Genomic DNA, 13,786 nt, shown 5'->3' on the forward strand with positions numbered 1-13,786 from the left:
GAGTGCAGCCCAGGGAGGGGAGGACAGACAGGTGAGGGGGCTCAGGGAGGAGAGGACAGACAGGTGAGGGGACACTGTCCAGGTCAGGGTGCAGGCCCCACGTTGCAGGCCTCCTGCCCAGAACCCTGCCCTCATTCCACTCCTCCAGGGCTGGGAGCCTGACCCTGAGTCGGCTTCACCCCCATCACCTTGACCCCTGACCCAGCGTTCTCTGGGTCCCTCCTGACCCTTCTGGCTGAGGCCCCTGCCCAGGGCTGCGCTCCTCCCAACAGCTCCTTCACAGAGTTGTGGGTCTCAGAATGATCCTCATTGTATACACAGGGCCAGGGCCTCTTTTTGTCTTTTTGCATAATTCCTCCTGCAGGGGCCCCACCCCAGCAGGGCCTCAGCCCAAGGCTCCAGTGGCTGAGCGGCCCCCTTCCAGCTTCCCTGGTCAGGAAACACCCCCTCTTGCGGCTGCCCAGAGACAAAGGGTCCCCTGGGTGTGGCACTTGCTGTCAGGCATATTCTAAGCCCCAGGCAAGCATCCTGAATGTGTGGCCAGTGGTTGGTGACAAAGGCTCAAGATAAGGGTTCACGCCCTGAACAAAAAATGTCCCAGGCCACCTGCAGCCCATGAGGGGCCTACCAAGAGAGGCCCTGGCACCTTGGTCCAGCCAGGGGCTGTGCAGAAGCTGCTGGAACCCCCTTGCTCTGTCGCTGGTGGCTGGTGCAGAGACTGGTCACCCTCTGCCGACCTATGGTCTGAGGAGCCCCCCGGGTGGAAGGCTGCGAGCGATAATGTCAGGCAGCCTCTGTGATCTGGGTCCCACCCCCTCGCCACGTGTCCCCCCAGCTTCCAGGCTCCACGTCTGTGCCAAGGTCGGCTCCTCAGTCCATCTTGCCCAAGCCATGCTCACAGGGATAGCCCTATTGCCAAGGCAACACTGCCCCTCCTGGAATGCACCCCCGGCCATGCAGGCAGCCTGCAGCACTCACTTCCTCCTTCTCATCTTCAAGTGAGAAACTCTTCCTCTGCCCCACTCAGACCATCCGTCTCTCTCTCTGGGCAACATCAGAGCCTGCCCGGGATCCCCACAGAGGCTGTGCGAGTCTGTGTCCCCAGCCCGGGATCCAGGCCCGGACTCCTCTTTTGAACGTTCCCTCCGCCTCCAGCAAGGTGTGGCCCCCACGAGCTGAGCCCCCAGGTGAGGAGCATCTAAGGCCTCGGGACCTGGGCTGTGGTAGCTTTTCGTCCCAAGCTGCTCAGTGAACTTGATGGCAAGTAATTTACCCTTAATATCCTACCAGCTAAATCTCATTATTGTCTTTACAAGAGCCAATATGTACACATTGATAGCCAGGCCTATTACATCTTAGCGTTCAGACTAAATGTCTGAAACATATTTTGAGAGAAAGCATAAAATTGCTTATTTTATTGAGCAAACCAATTAGAACAAGTCAGACCCTTTTATGAAGACACAGCACTGAGGGGCTCCATCAAACCTTCCTCTCATCCCCAGAGGTCCTCACGCTCACAAAATTGGCAGATTGTCAGCATTTGAGATGCTTCTTCAGGAAATTCAAATTTCATTTTCCCCAGTAGGTTAATTTCCCATGATTAGAAAAGAGTGAGGACTATTATTTTAAGTACTTCCCCCTGCCCTTCCACGGGGACAGTAGGAAGAACATATGCTCAAAGCACATGGATATTTTCCCTCCCTAAATATTAAAAAAAGAAGAAGAAGAAGAAAGAGAAACAGGAAAAGACTGGATTTCCTGCCATTTTAGCAAGACTGCAATTTCATTCTTAACCCCTCTGAGAATTCACATTCAGGCTGCAACCTTGAGAGTTGAGGGCCTCCACGTGCCTCAACCCAGGAAAACCAGGCACACTTGTAAACTCTCTTGGGAACCTCCCAAAAGCTGGTTTTTATAATTAGGAAAATAATTAGGACAATTTGGAAAAAAGAGTACACAACATGATGAGTTAGAAGCTGCTGCAGGGAGACCGTATATGTTGGGGTTACACCCGCTTGTTCCTGGGGAGAGGGGCAGCTCTGGGAGAGGCTAGGGGAGAAGCCCCCGTTTCCCTGCTCACCCCACATCAGGCTTCTCCAGAAAAGTCCCAACCAGAGCAGGTGGTAGGAGTTTAGCTGGGAGATCCAGCACAGATGCCTGGGACGAGGCTCTGGAAGTGAGAATCCCAGCGGCAGTGAGGTCCTCTCCTGGGTCCGATGGGTGAGGGGAGTCCGTGGGAAGATGGCTGAGGGAGATCTGGAGGAGGCAGAGCTGAAGGGGAAATCCAAGGCAGTAAAGTGGGACCCCGGAGTCTGGTGGGGCATTGGAGGTCTGTCGCTGGGGATCCCGACTGTCGGGTGGCTCGGATGGCACTGGACAGGGCCAGCCTCTCTGGTGGGTGGCCTCATCCAGCCCCTTCGTTTCACCTCCTGCCAGGGGCAGGCGTCACTGTGTCCTACAGATGCTGAAACCCTGGCCTGTGAGGACTAAGTGGCCTTGTTCAAGCACATACACCCAGGGCAGGGAAGAAGCTGACACTCCAGCCTGTGACAAGGCCTTCTTTCAGGCAGCAGGTCAGGTGTGTTTCTCTGCTCCATGATCTGTGTGCCCTGTTCCCTCCAGCAGGGAGTGTTGACACAGTGGCAGCCCGGGAGCCTCCCACATGCTCCGGAGCTGCCTCCCCTGTGTGGTGATGGAGTCTTCCTCTCCAGCCACAGGCCATCCTCTCTTGGTGCAGCAATGTTCACCCTCTGCTAAATCACATCTACGAGTGGGACACTGTGGCGCCTGCCAGAGCACCGGGCAGCCCCCAGGGACCCTTGAAGGTGGGCGCAGGTCACAGCCACCTGTCCAAGCCTCTGCTTCAGCACTGGAAGTGGGTGCGCTGAGAATGTGTTCTGGTGCTGGAGAGACCTCGGGTCCAACATGGGATGCAGACCCAGGACTCAGAGAAAGGGGGAGTCAGGGAGGTGGGAGGCAGCCCCTGCCCTTCCACCATGGACACCGGCGTCTGTTCCCTCCTGTTTTTCTTTAATGCAGGCATTTACAAGGAAGAGCTTAGTGAAGCTTCGCTCACGTTTTCAAATCAAGCAAGGCTGAGGTCACTCATGAGGTCTGCCTGGCTTTGTCCACTCAGGCTTCCTCAGGCCTGTCCCCATTTTAATCCATTTTAATAGCTCTCGACACCCGTGATGCCCAGTGGGAAAATGCAGCAGAGAAACCCCCTTTCCTGTGGCAAGGATCTGTTAGCTCCCCACGCAAGATATGAAAGAAGATACGCGACATCCTTTTTGGGAAAAAGAAAGTACAAACCACCACTGAAGGATGACGAGAAGCCTTAAGGACAGGAAGCATGAAAGTGAAGCCATGACACATAAAATAATCAAGCAGGAGAGGGGCACATCCCAGAGCCCAGGGGAAGAACGGGCCGGGCTGCAGTAAATGGTGCTGGGACCATTGGTTTTTCAAATAGAAAAACACTCAGATTGATCTCTAACTTACACCAAATAGGAAGGTAAATCCCAAGTGAGTTGAAGACTAGTTTTTTAAAAGTAAAATTTTAAGGCACTTTGAATAAAATATGGGATTATATCTTTATGACCTTGAGTTAGAAAAGATGTCTTCAGCAAGACCCAAAAGCCCAGGTCATAAAGGAAATGATTGATTAATTCAACCACATTAAATTTTAAATTTCTGTGAAATAAAAGCCATCATAAAGGCTGAAAAGACGAGCTGAAGACCTGCAGAAGATCTTGCAATGCATGGATGGATAATGCTGTGATATTCCGGGTATATTTTAAAACCCCTACAAGGAAGTATAATAAAGACAAGCAACTTAACAAAAGTCTACACAAAAGATATGAACAAACATTTCACAGAAAGGGGCAAAAGTCATGACCAATGACAGGTTAACAATTCTGAACATAATAGTAATCAGGAAAAATAAACATTCAGGCAATATCATATACAATCACATGCATCCAGTTATCAAAATCTTAAACAGCTGAGCACAGCAAGGCTGGTGAGGATGGACACCGTGGGGACACAAGAGACACAGGGGATCGCCATGGGGATCACTGCTGGGGGACAGGGACCAGGAAGTCAGCCATTCACAAGAGCTCCTGCAAATAAAGGCATGTGTCCTGTGACCTAGGAATCTTTCTCCTAGCCTTAAACGAAGGTTTTGGCCAGGCACAGAAAGAAAAAGCCGGAAAGAATGTCAAACGAAGCATGGCTTTTAATGACACAGAAGGTTTTGAAATGACCTAAATGTTCATCAGTATGAGTTGAGAATATTACTAGTGAAAATGAATTAGGAAGAGCTGAGTCTATTAACACGGGTAAGCTTCGAAAGCCATGTTGAACGAGAAGGCACAGAATGATTTGTCCTACAAAACACGACTTTATAAAGTGTAAAATGTGAAGGATGGTATTAAGTGCTGTGCAGGGACATATGTCCACATGGAAGGCTGATATGAAAGGTGGGAAAGTTTGATGGGAACCTGATTTGGGAGAGTGGCCACTGCCGTTAGGAGTAGCCTCAATGGCATGGCACAGAAGAAGCTTATGTAAAAGCAAGTAAAACAAAACGGCAAATGACTTTGTTCTCATAAAATTATGAGGTCTAGGCCAGGTGTGGTGGCTCATGCCTGTAATCCTAGCACTTTGGGAGGCTGAGGTGGGTGGATCACCTGAGGTCAGGAGTTTGAGACCAGCCTGGCCAATGTGGCAAAACCCTGTCTCTACTAAAAATACAAAAATTAGCCAGGCATGGTGGCACTTGCCTGTAATCCCAGCTACTGGGGAGGCTGCGGCATGGAGAATTGCTTGAACCCAGGAGGTGGAGGTTGCAGCGAGCTGAGATCGCTGCACTCCAGTGTGGGCAACAAGAGTAAAAATCAGTCTCAAAAAAAAAAATGAGGTCTAAACCTGGGCTGGTGTGTGGCTCTGTGGCGATGTGAGAACTGTGAGCTTCCCCCCTTTCTGCTGCTTTCCCATGCTGCATCCTTTCTGAACAACTGCTGTTCTCACGGTTACCTCATGTTCCAGGGTGGCTGCTGGCATTCCTGCAATCTCAGCTCTATTCCAGGCCAATAGCTGAAGGAAGTGAAAGAGGATGAAAGGATGCTCGTTTCGCTTTCAGGAGCATTCCCCAAAATCCCCACAGGGTGGCTTACATCTCCATCTCTCAAGGCCAAACCTGGCTGCAAGGGTGACTGAGCCAATGCTCTGTGAGTGGAGAGTGCTTTTGCTCAGAGTAAACTCCAGGTTTTGTTGCTGAAGAGGAAGGGGTAATGGCTTGGGCAGAAGCCAGGCCCTGCCCCATGGTTACCTATGGGGAGGGGAGCATCTGAAATGCTGGAGGGGCGGGAGGGTTTTCACTTGTACGGAAGTTTATTTTTCAAAAAGAAATCAGAAACAAGTATGGACAATTTTGAAATTTTATTAAAAAATAGTAAGTGAAGAGTGTACACTGTTCTCTATTTTTTATGTTTGAAATAGTTTACAAGAAGAAAGAAGAATGAAATAGAAAATGCATATACATTGATTTTATTAATGATATGCAATGATCCATCAATTTATAACAATATAAAATACCAAATAAATGTTAAAATTCACTCACCCTGGAAAAAAATCAAGACTTCTTTTTCTGAAAAGATGGAAACCCTCCCAGCTCTACAATGTGTTGAACAATTTGTTTAGCTTCATTCTCAGCCCAATGTGTCTTTCCTTCTTTCTCCTGGTTTCTTACAACTCTTTTCTTGTGCTTTTCCCAATGGAAAGTGACTTTCTCCTGTTCTGTTCATCAGACAATATAACCTTCAATCTCAGGTTGTCCACGGACCTCTAGATACAGGCTCACTGGCTCTTTGCAGCTGTGCCTGCTTGGCACCTGCTAACCATTAAACAGCAGGACTAGCTTTTATGTCCCTGCTGCCAGGGGTCCACCTGAGCACCTGGGACCTGGCACCCTTGCCCTTTAAGCTGCAGTCATCTCTGGTCACAAGCGTTGTTTGCCCTTCCCACACCAGTCCAACCCAGGCCAATCACGGAGCGGGTCTTCGTCAGACCTGGTTAAGACCTGAGGCTCACGCTGGAGCACATGTCTCGGCCGGAGAGAGTATGACACGGGTGTAGCATAAATCACGGGAATGTAAGGAGCGTGTCTCCACGGAGCTTGTAGAGTGAAGAAGAGACAATCAACCCATGGTAAACGTGTTAACGTTTTGATGTGATGATCACTGGAAACTATTTAGTGGCACGAAAACATAAACACGCCTCCGCTCCTCGTCCTGCCCTACCTCCCGGTACTCGCATCTATTTCATCTCTCACTGTTCATCCATTATTTGTCTCTTTATCGACCATATTTCCTCCAGATCTGCTGACTGGCCGTTCATTGTGCATTTCTGCCAAAGAGGCTCTTGATTTCTGACTCTTCAAATCATTTCCAAATGTGTTACTGAGAACCAACTGCCTGAAGCCTGAGCGTCTGCAAGGAGGAGTTTATTTCGGGCAGAGGGAGGGTGTGGGGGTGGCCCCGACTGGTCCTGACTCCCACCCATGCCATCTGGGAGGCTGGTGGCCAAGCTACGTGCACTCTGGCCCCAACTCTGCCCCATCGCCCCACGTACCTGGTACGCTTTGCAGGAGTGGAGGTGCCTCCCTGGGGCCGTGAGTGCTATGCAAAAAAGAACCAACTGTTCCCTAGGTTTCTGCACTAAGGCAGGGAAGGGGAGGGCAGAACAATCTTGAGCTGACTGTCCCTGACTGCCACTTCACGGCTTGTCATCCTGGCCTAGTCTCAGGAAAGGGATCCCACAGCCGAGAATTTAGGAAATCAGCAGCTGGCTGTAAATAAGCTGATGATAAACAAGGCGACCTGCTGAATTAAAATGCAAAGCATTTCTCCCAGCTCCCTGATAACCACTGAAAGGTAAAATCGCCAGTCTTTCCATGAAAGAAATTAGCATTAATAAGATGAAACCGTATTTGGGATAACTGACAATTTGATGAATGTGCTGAGAGGATTGGACGTGATGCATTTGATGGATAATATTTTGGGTTGCCTCGGGTTGCATTTAATTGTTCCTTCTTCGTTCTCAGCTTTAGTTAAGTGAAATAGAAAACCCCAGTGATGCTGGAATTTATCTTTCAGGAGGCAGATGCACGGCTTAATTATCAATCCCGGCTGATAGCCTCTCCGTCTGTGCACAGGGCAGTGGGGGACGTGGACTGAGCTCTCTGCGTCTCATTTTTCTCCGCCCCTCTGAACCGCATGTGCTGCCTGAAGGCGGATGTGCTGTCTCCCAGTTGGGCCTCCCTTCCCTTGGCCTGGTGCTGAGGTCGGTTGAGGCCTCCACAGAGATGGAGAGACGAGGTCCCAGGTCCACGTGCACCTGCTCACTCTCAGCGGGTGTCCGATTTCCCTTCACAGGAAAAGCCCGCAGGTCAGCTGGCAGAGAGGACCCCTGAGTTGAGATTCCAGAACTCTGTCCTCAGATATGATTTGGGGTCAAGCTGGTAGTCTAAATCCTTTTCCAGATGTCTTCTGAGGCTGGTTTCTTCTTTCCCTGTGGGGATGCAAATGCCCCCACAGGTGGACTACACCAGGCTGTACCCTGCAGGAGCAGTATCCTCCACCTGATTAACCCTTCCAAACCCTCTTTCCCCTGATGTTCTCACAGGGAGGTTTCTGGAACCCTCCTCTCCATGCTCTTGGGACCACCTATAGCTGCCTCTGACTCACAGCCCTCCTGGTCTGTTTCCTTGTCTTTGCCTCCAGGCTGAGATCACTGACTGCGTGGCTGTGCCCAGACACAGCTCACCGTGCTCAGTAGAACAACGTCACTCACTTCTGTCCCCAGTGCCCCGGCGAGGCCCGACCTGTAGAAGTGACTTCATAAATGTGCATTAAATGCAGTGGAAGCATCCATTTCTTCATCTTTGTCCCTGCCTGAATGTTCAACTATTTGAAGGAAAGGACCTGTCTACCACCTCTTTGCCCCCAGCACTGGGCACAGGCCTAGCCCAGCCTCACGGTTCCGTGGGGACTTGAAAGAGAGGGGTGAGGGCTGCTTGGGCAAATGAGCCAAGTCTCCCATGGGCAGGCTCTGCCAGGAATAAGGGTCACCTCAAGGGAAAGGCTGGCCTGTGCCAAGACAGATGCCAGGCCAAGGGGCACCGTGGCACCTGCCTTGCCCTGTAAACACGGCACAGGAATGAGCCCTCACTGGAGAGAAGAGGGCCTGGGAGCTGGAGGCAGGCCTGGGGACTGAGCCTGCAAAAAATCCATTGAAGAGTCATGAAATGCTGGAAGGTGGAAATCAAGATCTGAATGTTTGCAAAGGAATATTTGGATCTTGGATGGAAAGACAAAATAAAAGTAACAGCAAAACTACAGTTACTTTTGCACAACCTATGAAAACATATCAATTCTCCACAAATTAACAGCAAACTCTGAAGTAATTCCAAATGGAATTCCAACGTCTATGCATGTATGTGTGTTTGATTTAGCTAAAATTATCTTAAATTCATGTAACAAAATATATGTCTAAAGTAATCAAGAAATCTATGAAAAAGAAAATTGAGATGGATCTTGCCCTAGAGAAATTCCAGCTGTTGTAATCAAAACGATTGCAGAGGAATGGATGGAACTGCCCTAAACGGAGAGGCCAGAAGAGACCCAGCAGGCATGGAAACTGAGTATATGAAAACCAAGGTGCTTTGACTCTGGGAAAAAACATGCTTTTCATAGTCATCTCTGCTGACCGTAGCACCTAGACAGGTAGAAGCAAAGAAAATGGGACTTCTGGGCCGGGCGCGGTGGCTCACGCCTATAATCCCAGCACTTTGGGAGGCCGAGGCGGGCGAATCACAAGGTCAGGAGTTCAGGACCACCCAGCCAACATAGTGAAACCCCATCTCTACTAAAAATACAAAAAATTAGCTGGGTGTAGTGGCAGGTGCCTGTAATCCCAGCTGCTCAGGAGGCTGAGGCAGGAGAATCACTGGAACCCGGGAGGTGGAAGTTGCGGTGAGCCGAGATCGCGCCATTGTACTCCAGCCCAGGTGACAGAGCAAGACTCTGTCTCAAAAAAAAAAAAGAAGAAAGAAAGGAAGGAAGGCAGGGAGGGAGGGAGGAAGGAAGGAGAGAGAGAGAGAGAGAGAAAGAAAGAAAAAGAAAGAGAGAGAGAGAGAGAGAAAGAAAGAAAGAAAAAGAAAGAAAGAAAGAAAGAAAGAATGAAAGAAAGAAAGAAAGAAAGAAAGAAAAGAAAAAGAAAGAAAGAAAGAAAGAAAAAGAAAGAAAGAAAATGGGATTTCTGGTCATGTCATACTCAGAATAAATAGATACATCAAATGTTAATTATCACAAGGTAGGAAAAGAACAAAATCTTAGAAGAAAATGAATATGCATATAGCCTGTGGTTTGCACAAATGTTTTAAATCAATATTAGCTACTAGGAAGCTATTAATTAAACATACATACACAGAGAAGCATATGTAACTACTTTTAAACTAACATCCAGCAAAAAAGGCCAGAAGCAGAGTCAAAAGTAAAAATGATAGGAAAGCATTTCACAACGTAGGGTGCAATTACAGGGTTAACAGCCACACTGTACAAGGAGCTTATACAAATTGATTTTTTAGAGAGACAAATAACTTGAAAATTAGGCAAAACATACGGATAGGCACTTACTAGAAAATTACCAAATGGCCAAAAATTGTATAAAATTTACATGTAGACAGAAAATGCAAATTATTTTAATAAGGAGATACCAATTTTCACCTCTCAGACAGAGAAATATAAAGGTAACACCTTTTCCCAGAGATACGAAGGAAAGAACATTCTTTTATTATTGCTGGAAATGTGAATTATAACTGCTTTTTGGAAAGCCATTTGGAAAGAGAGATTTGAATTAAAATGCAGTCATCCTTTGGTATCCATGGGGGCCCTGGTTTCAGGACCCCTGCTATTGCCAAAATCCAAGGATGCCCAAGTGGCCGTTATAGAATGGTGTGGTATTTGCATGTCACCCAGCCACATCCTCCTGTGAGCTTCGAGTCATCTCCAGCTTACTCACAGGACCTGATAGGACATAAATGCTATGGAAATTGTTGTTAGACGTTATTGTTAAAACTTGTGTTACTTTTTTTGCCGTATTATTAATTTTTATTGATTTTTTCCTGACTATTTTTTATCCGAGGTTGGTTGAATCACGGACGCAGAAGCCAGAGACTCAGAGGGTGAACAGTACCCAGCACACTGGCCCCGCCTTCCCATCCTGAGTCTCCATCCCTCAGAAATCAGCGCAGCCCTGCAGGAGGCCGGGGCAGGAGGACCATTGTGGAGGCACAGTTCGCAGAGGCAGGAAACGTCCCCGGCCCAGAGCGTCCCCCAGCCATGGGGAGAGGATGTCAGGGCTCTTGTGGCCACCTGGGAGCAAGCGGGGTTACACTGTCTGTTGGGTAAGAAGAGAGAGACTCAGAAAAGTGCACGCAGGACTCTAACTTTATTACACAATTATAAACAGACCCAAACCATAGTATGTACTTACAACGAAAACATTGCACAATTATGCACAATAAAGTCTAGGCTGTGGGATATTATCCCATTCAGTGCGTGTCTGTGGTGTATGTGATGGTGTGTGTTTGTGGTGTGTGTGTGTGATGTGGGGTGTGTGTGTGTATGTATGGTGTGGTGTGTGTGTATGGTGTATTTTGTGTGTGATGTGTGTGTGATGTGCGGTGTGTGTGTGTTTTGGGGGTAGTGTGATGTGTGTGATGTGTATGTGATGTGTGGTTTGTGTGTTTTATGTGTGGTGTGGTGTGTGTAGTATATTTTGTGTGTGATGTGTGGTGTATGTGTTTTGTGTGTGCTGTGTGGTGTATGTGTGTGCTGTGTGGTGTATGTGTGTGGTGTATTTTGTGTGTGGTGTGGTGTGCGGGGTGCAGTTTGTGTGCAATATACGGTGTGTGAGTTTTATGTGTTATTTGTGGTGTGTGTCGTGTGTGATGTGGGGCGTGTTTTGTTTGTGATCTGTGTGGTGTATTTTGTGTGTGGTGTGTGTGATGTGTGCGTGGTGTGGCACGTGTGATATGTGTGTGATGTGTGGTGTGTGTGGTGTTGTGTTGCGTGCTTTGTATTTTGTGTGTGATGTACTGTGTGTGCGGTGATGTGTGTGCTTTCTTTCTTTTTTTTTTTTTTTTTTTTAAGTTGAAAGTCTTTTTTTTTTTTTTTTATTATACTCTAAGTTTTAGGGTACATGTGCACATTGTGCAGGTTAGTTACATATGTATACATGTGCCATGCTGGTGCGCTGCACCCACTAATGTGTCATCTAGCATTAGGTATATCTCCCAATGCTATCCCTCCCCCCTCCCCCGACCCCACCACAGTCCCCAGAGTGTGATATTCCCCTTCCTGTGTCCATGTGATCTCATTGTTCAATTCCCACCTATGAGTGAGAATATGCGGTGTTTGGTTTTTTGTTCTTGCGATAGTTTACTGAGAATGATGGTTTCCAATTTCATCCATGTCCCTACAAAGGATATGAACTCATCATTTTTTATGGCTGCATAGTATTCCATGGTGTATATGTGCCACATTTTCTTAATCCAGTCTATCATTGTTGGACATTTGGGTTGGTTCCAAGTCTTTGCTATTGTGAATAGTGCTGCAATAAACATACGTGTGGATGTGTCTTTATAGCAGCATGATTTATACTCATTTGGGTATATACCCAGTAATGGGATGGCTGGGTCAAATGGTATTTCTAGTTCTAGATCCCTGAGGAATCGCCACACTGACTTCCACAATGGTTGAACTAGTTTACAGTCCCACCAACAGTGTAAAAGTGTTCCTATTTCTCCGCATCCTCTCCAGCACCTGTTGTTTCCTGACTTTTTAATGATTGCCATTCTAACTGGTGTGAGATGATATCTCATAGTGGTTTTGATTTGCATTTCTCTGATGGCCAGTGATGATGAGCATTTCTTCATGTGTTTTTTGGCTGCATAAATGTCTTCTTTTGAGAAGTGTCTGTTCATGTCCTTCGCCCACTTTTTGATGGGGTTGTTTGTTTTTTTCTTGTAAATTTGTTTGAGTTCATTGTAGATTCTGGATATTAGCCCTTTGTCAGATGAGTAGGTTGCGAAAATTTTCTCCCATGTTGTAGGTTGCCTGTTCACTCTGATGGTAGTTTCTTTTGCTGTGCAGAAACTCTTTAGTTTAATTAGATCCCATTTGTCAATTTTGTCTTTTGTTGCCATTGCTTTTGGTGTTTTGGACATGAAGTCCTTGCCCACGCCTATGTCCTGAATGGTAATGCCTAGGTTTTCTTCTAGGGTTTTTATGGTTTTAGGTTTAACGTTTAAATCTTTAATCCATCTTGAATTGATTTTTGTATAAGGTGTAAGGAAGGGATCCAGTTTCAGCTTTCTACATATGGCTAGCCAGTTTTCCCAGCACCATTTATTAAATAGGGAATCCTTTCCCCATTGCTTGTTTTTCTCAGGTTTGTCAAAGATCAGATAGTTGTAGATATGCGGCATTATTTCTGAGGGCTCTGTTCTGTTCCATTGATCTATATCTCTGTTTTGGTACCAGTACCATGCTGTTTTGGTTACTGTAGCTAGGTAGTATAGTTTGAAGTCAGGTAGTGTGATGCCTCCAGCTTTGTTCTTTTGGCTTAGGATTGACTTGGCAATGCGGGCTCTTTTTTGGTTCCATATGAACTTTAAAGTAGTTTTTTCCAATTCTGTGAAGAAAGTCATTGGTAGCTTGATGGGGATGGCATTGAATCTGTAAATTACCTTGGGCAGTATGGCCATTTTCACGATATTGATTCTTCCTACCCATGAGCATGGAATGTTCTTCCATTTGTTTGTATCCTCCTTTATTTCGTTGAGCAGTGGTTTGTAGTTCTCCTTGAAGAGGTCCTTCACATCCCTTGTAAGTTGGATTCCTAGGTATTTTATTCTCTTTGAAGCAATTGTGAATGGGAGTTCACCCATGATTTGGCTCTCTGTTTGTCTGTTGTTGGTGTATAAGAATGCTTGTGATTTTTGTACATTGATTTTGTATCCTGAGACTTTGCTGAAGTTGCTTATCAGCTTAAGGAGATTTTGGGCTGAGACGATGGGGTTTTCTAGATAAACAATCATGTCGTCTGCAAACAGGGACAATTTGACTTCCTCTTTTCCTAATTGAATACCCTTTATTTCCTTCTCCTGCCTGATTGCCCTGGCCAGAACTTCCAACACTATGTTGAATAGGAGCGGTGAGAGAGGGCATCCCTGTCTTGTGCCAGTTTTCAAAGGGAATGCTTCCAGTTTTTGCCCATTCAGTATGATATTGGCTGTGGGTTTGTCATAGATAGCTCTTATTATTTTGAAATACGTCCCATCAATACCTAATTTATTGAGAGTTTTTAGCATGAAGGGTTGTTGAATTTTGTCAAAGGCTTTTTCTGCATCTATTGAGATAATCATGTGGTTTTTGTCTTTGGCTCTGTTTATATGCTGGATTACATTTATTGATTTGCGTATATTGAACCAGCCTTGCATCCCAGGGATGAAGCCCACTTGATCATGGTGGATAAGCTTTTTGATGTGCTGCTGGATTCGGTTTGCCAGTATTTTATTGAGGATTTTTGCATCAATGTTCATCAAGGATATTGGTCTAAAATTCTCTTTTTTGGTTGTGTCTCTGCCCGGCTTTGGTATCAGAATGATGCTGGCCTCATAAAATGAGTTAGGGAGGATTCCCTCTTTTTCTATTGATTG

Source organism: Homo sapiens, chromosome 22 (genome assembly GCF_000001405.40).
Source record: "Homo sapiens chromosome 22, GRCh38.p14 Primary Assembly".
In the NCBI taxonomy this organism is placed as follows: Eukaryota; Metazoa; Chordata; class Mammalia; order Primates; family Hominidae; genus Homo; species Homo sapiens.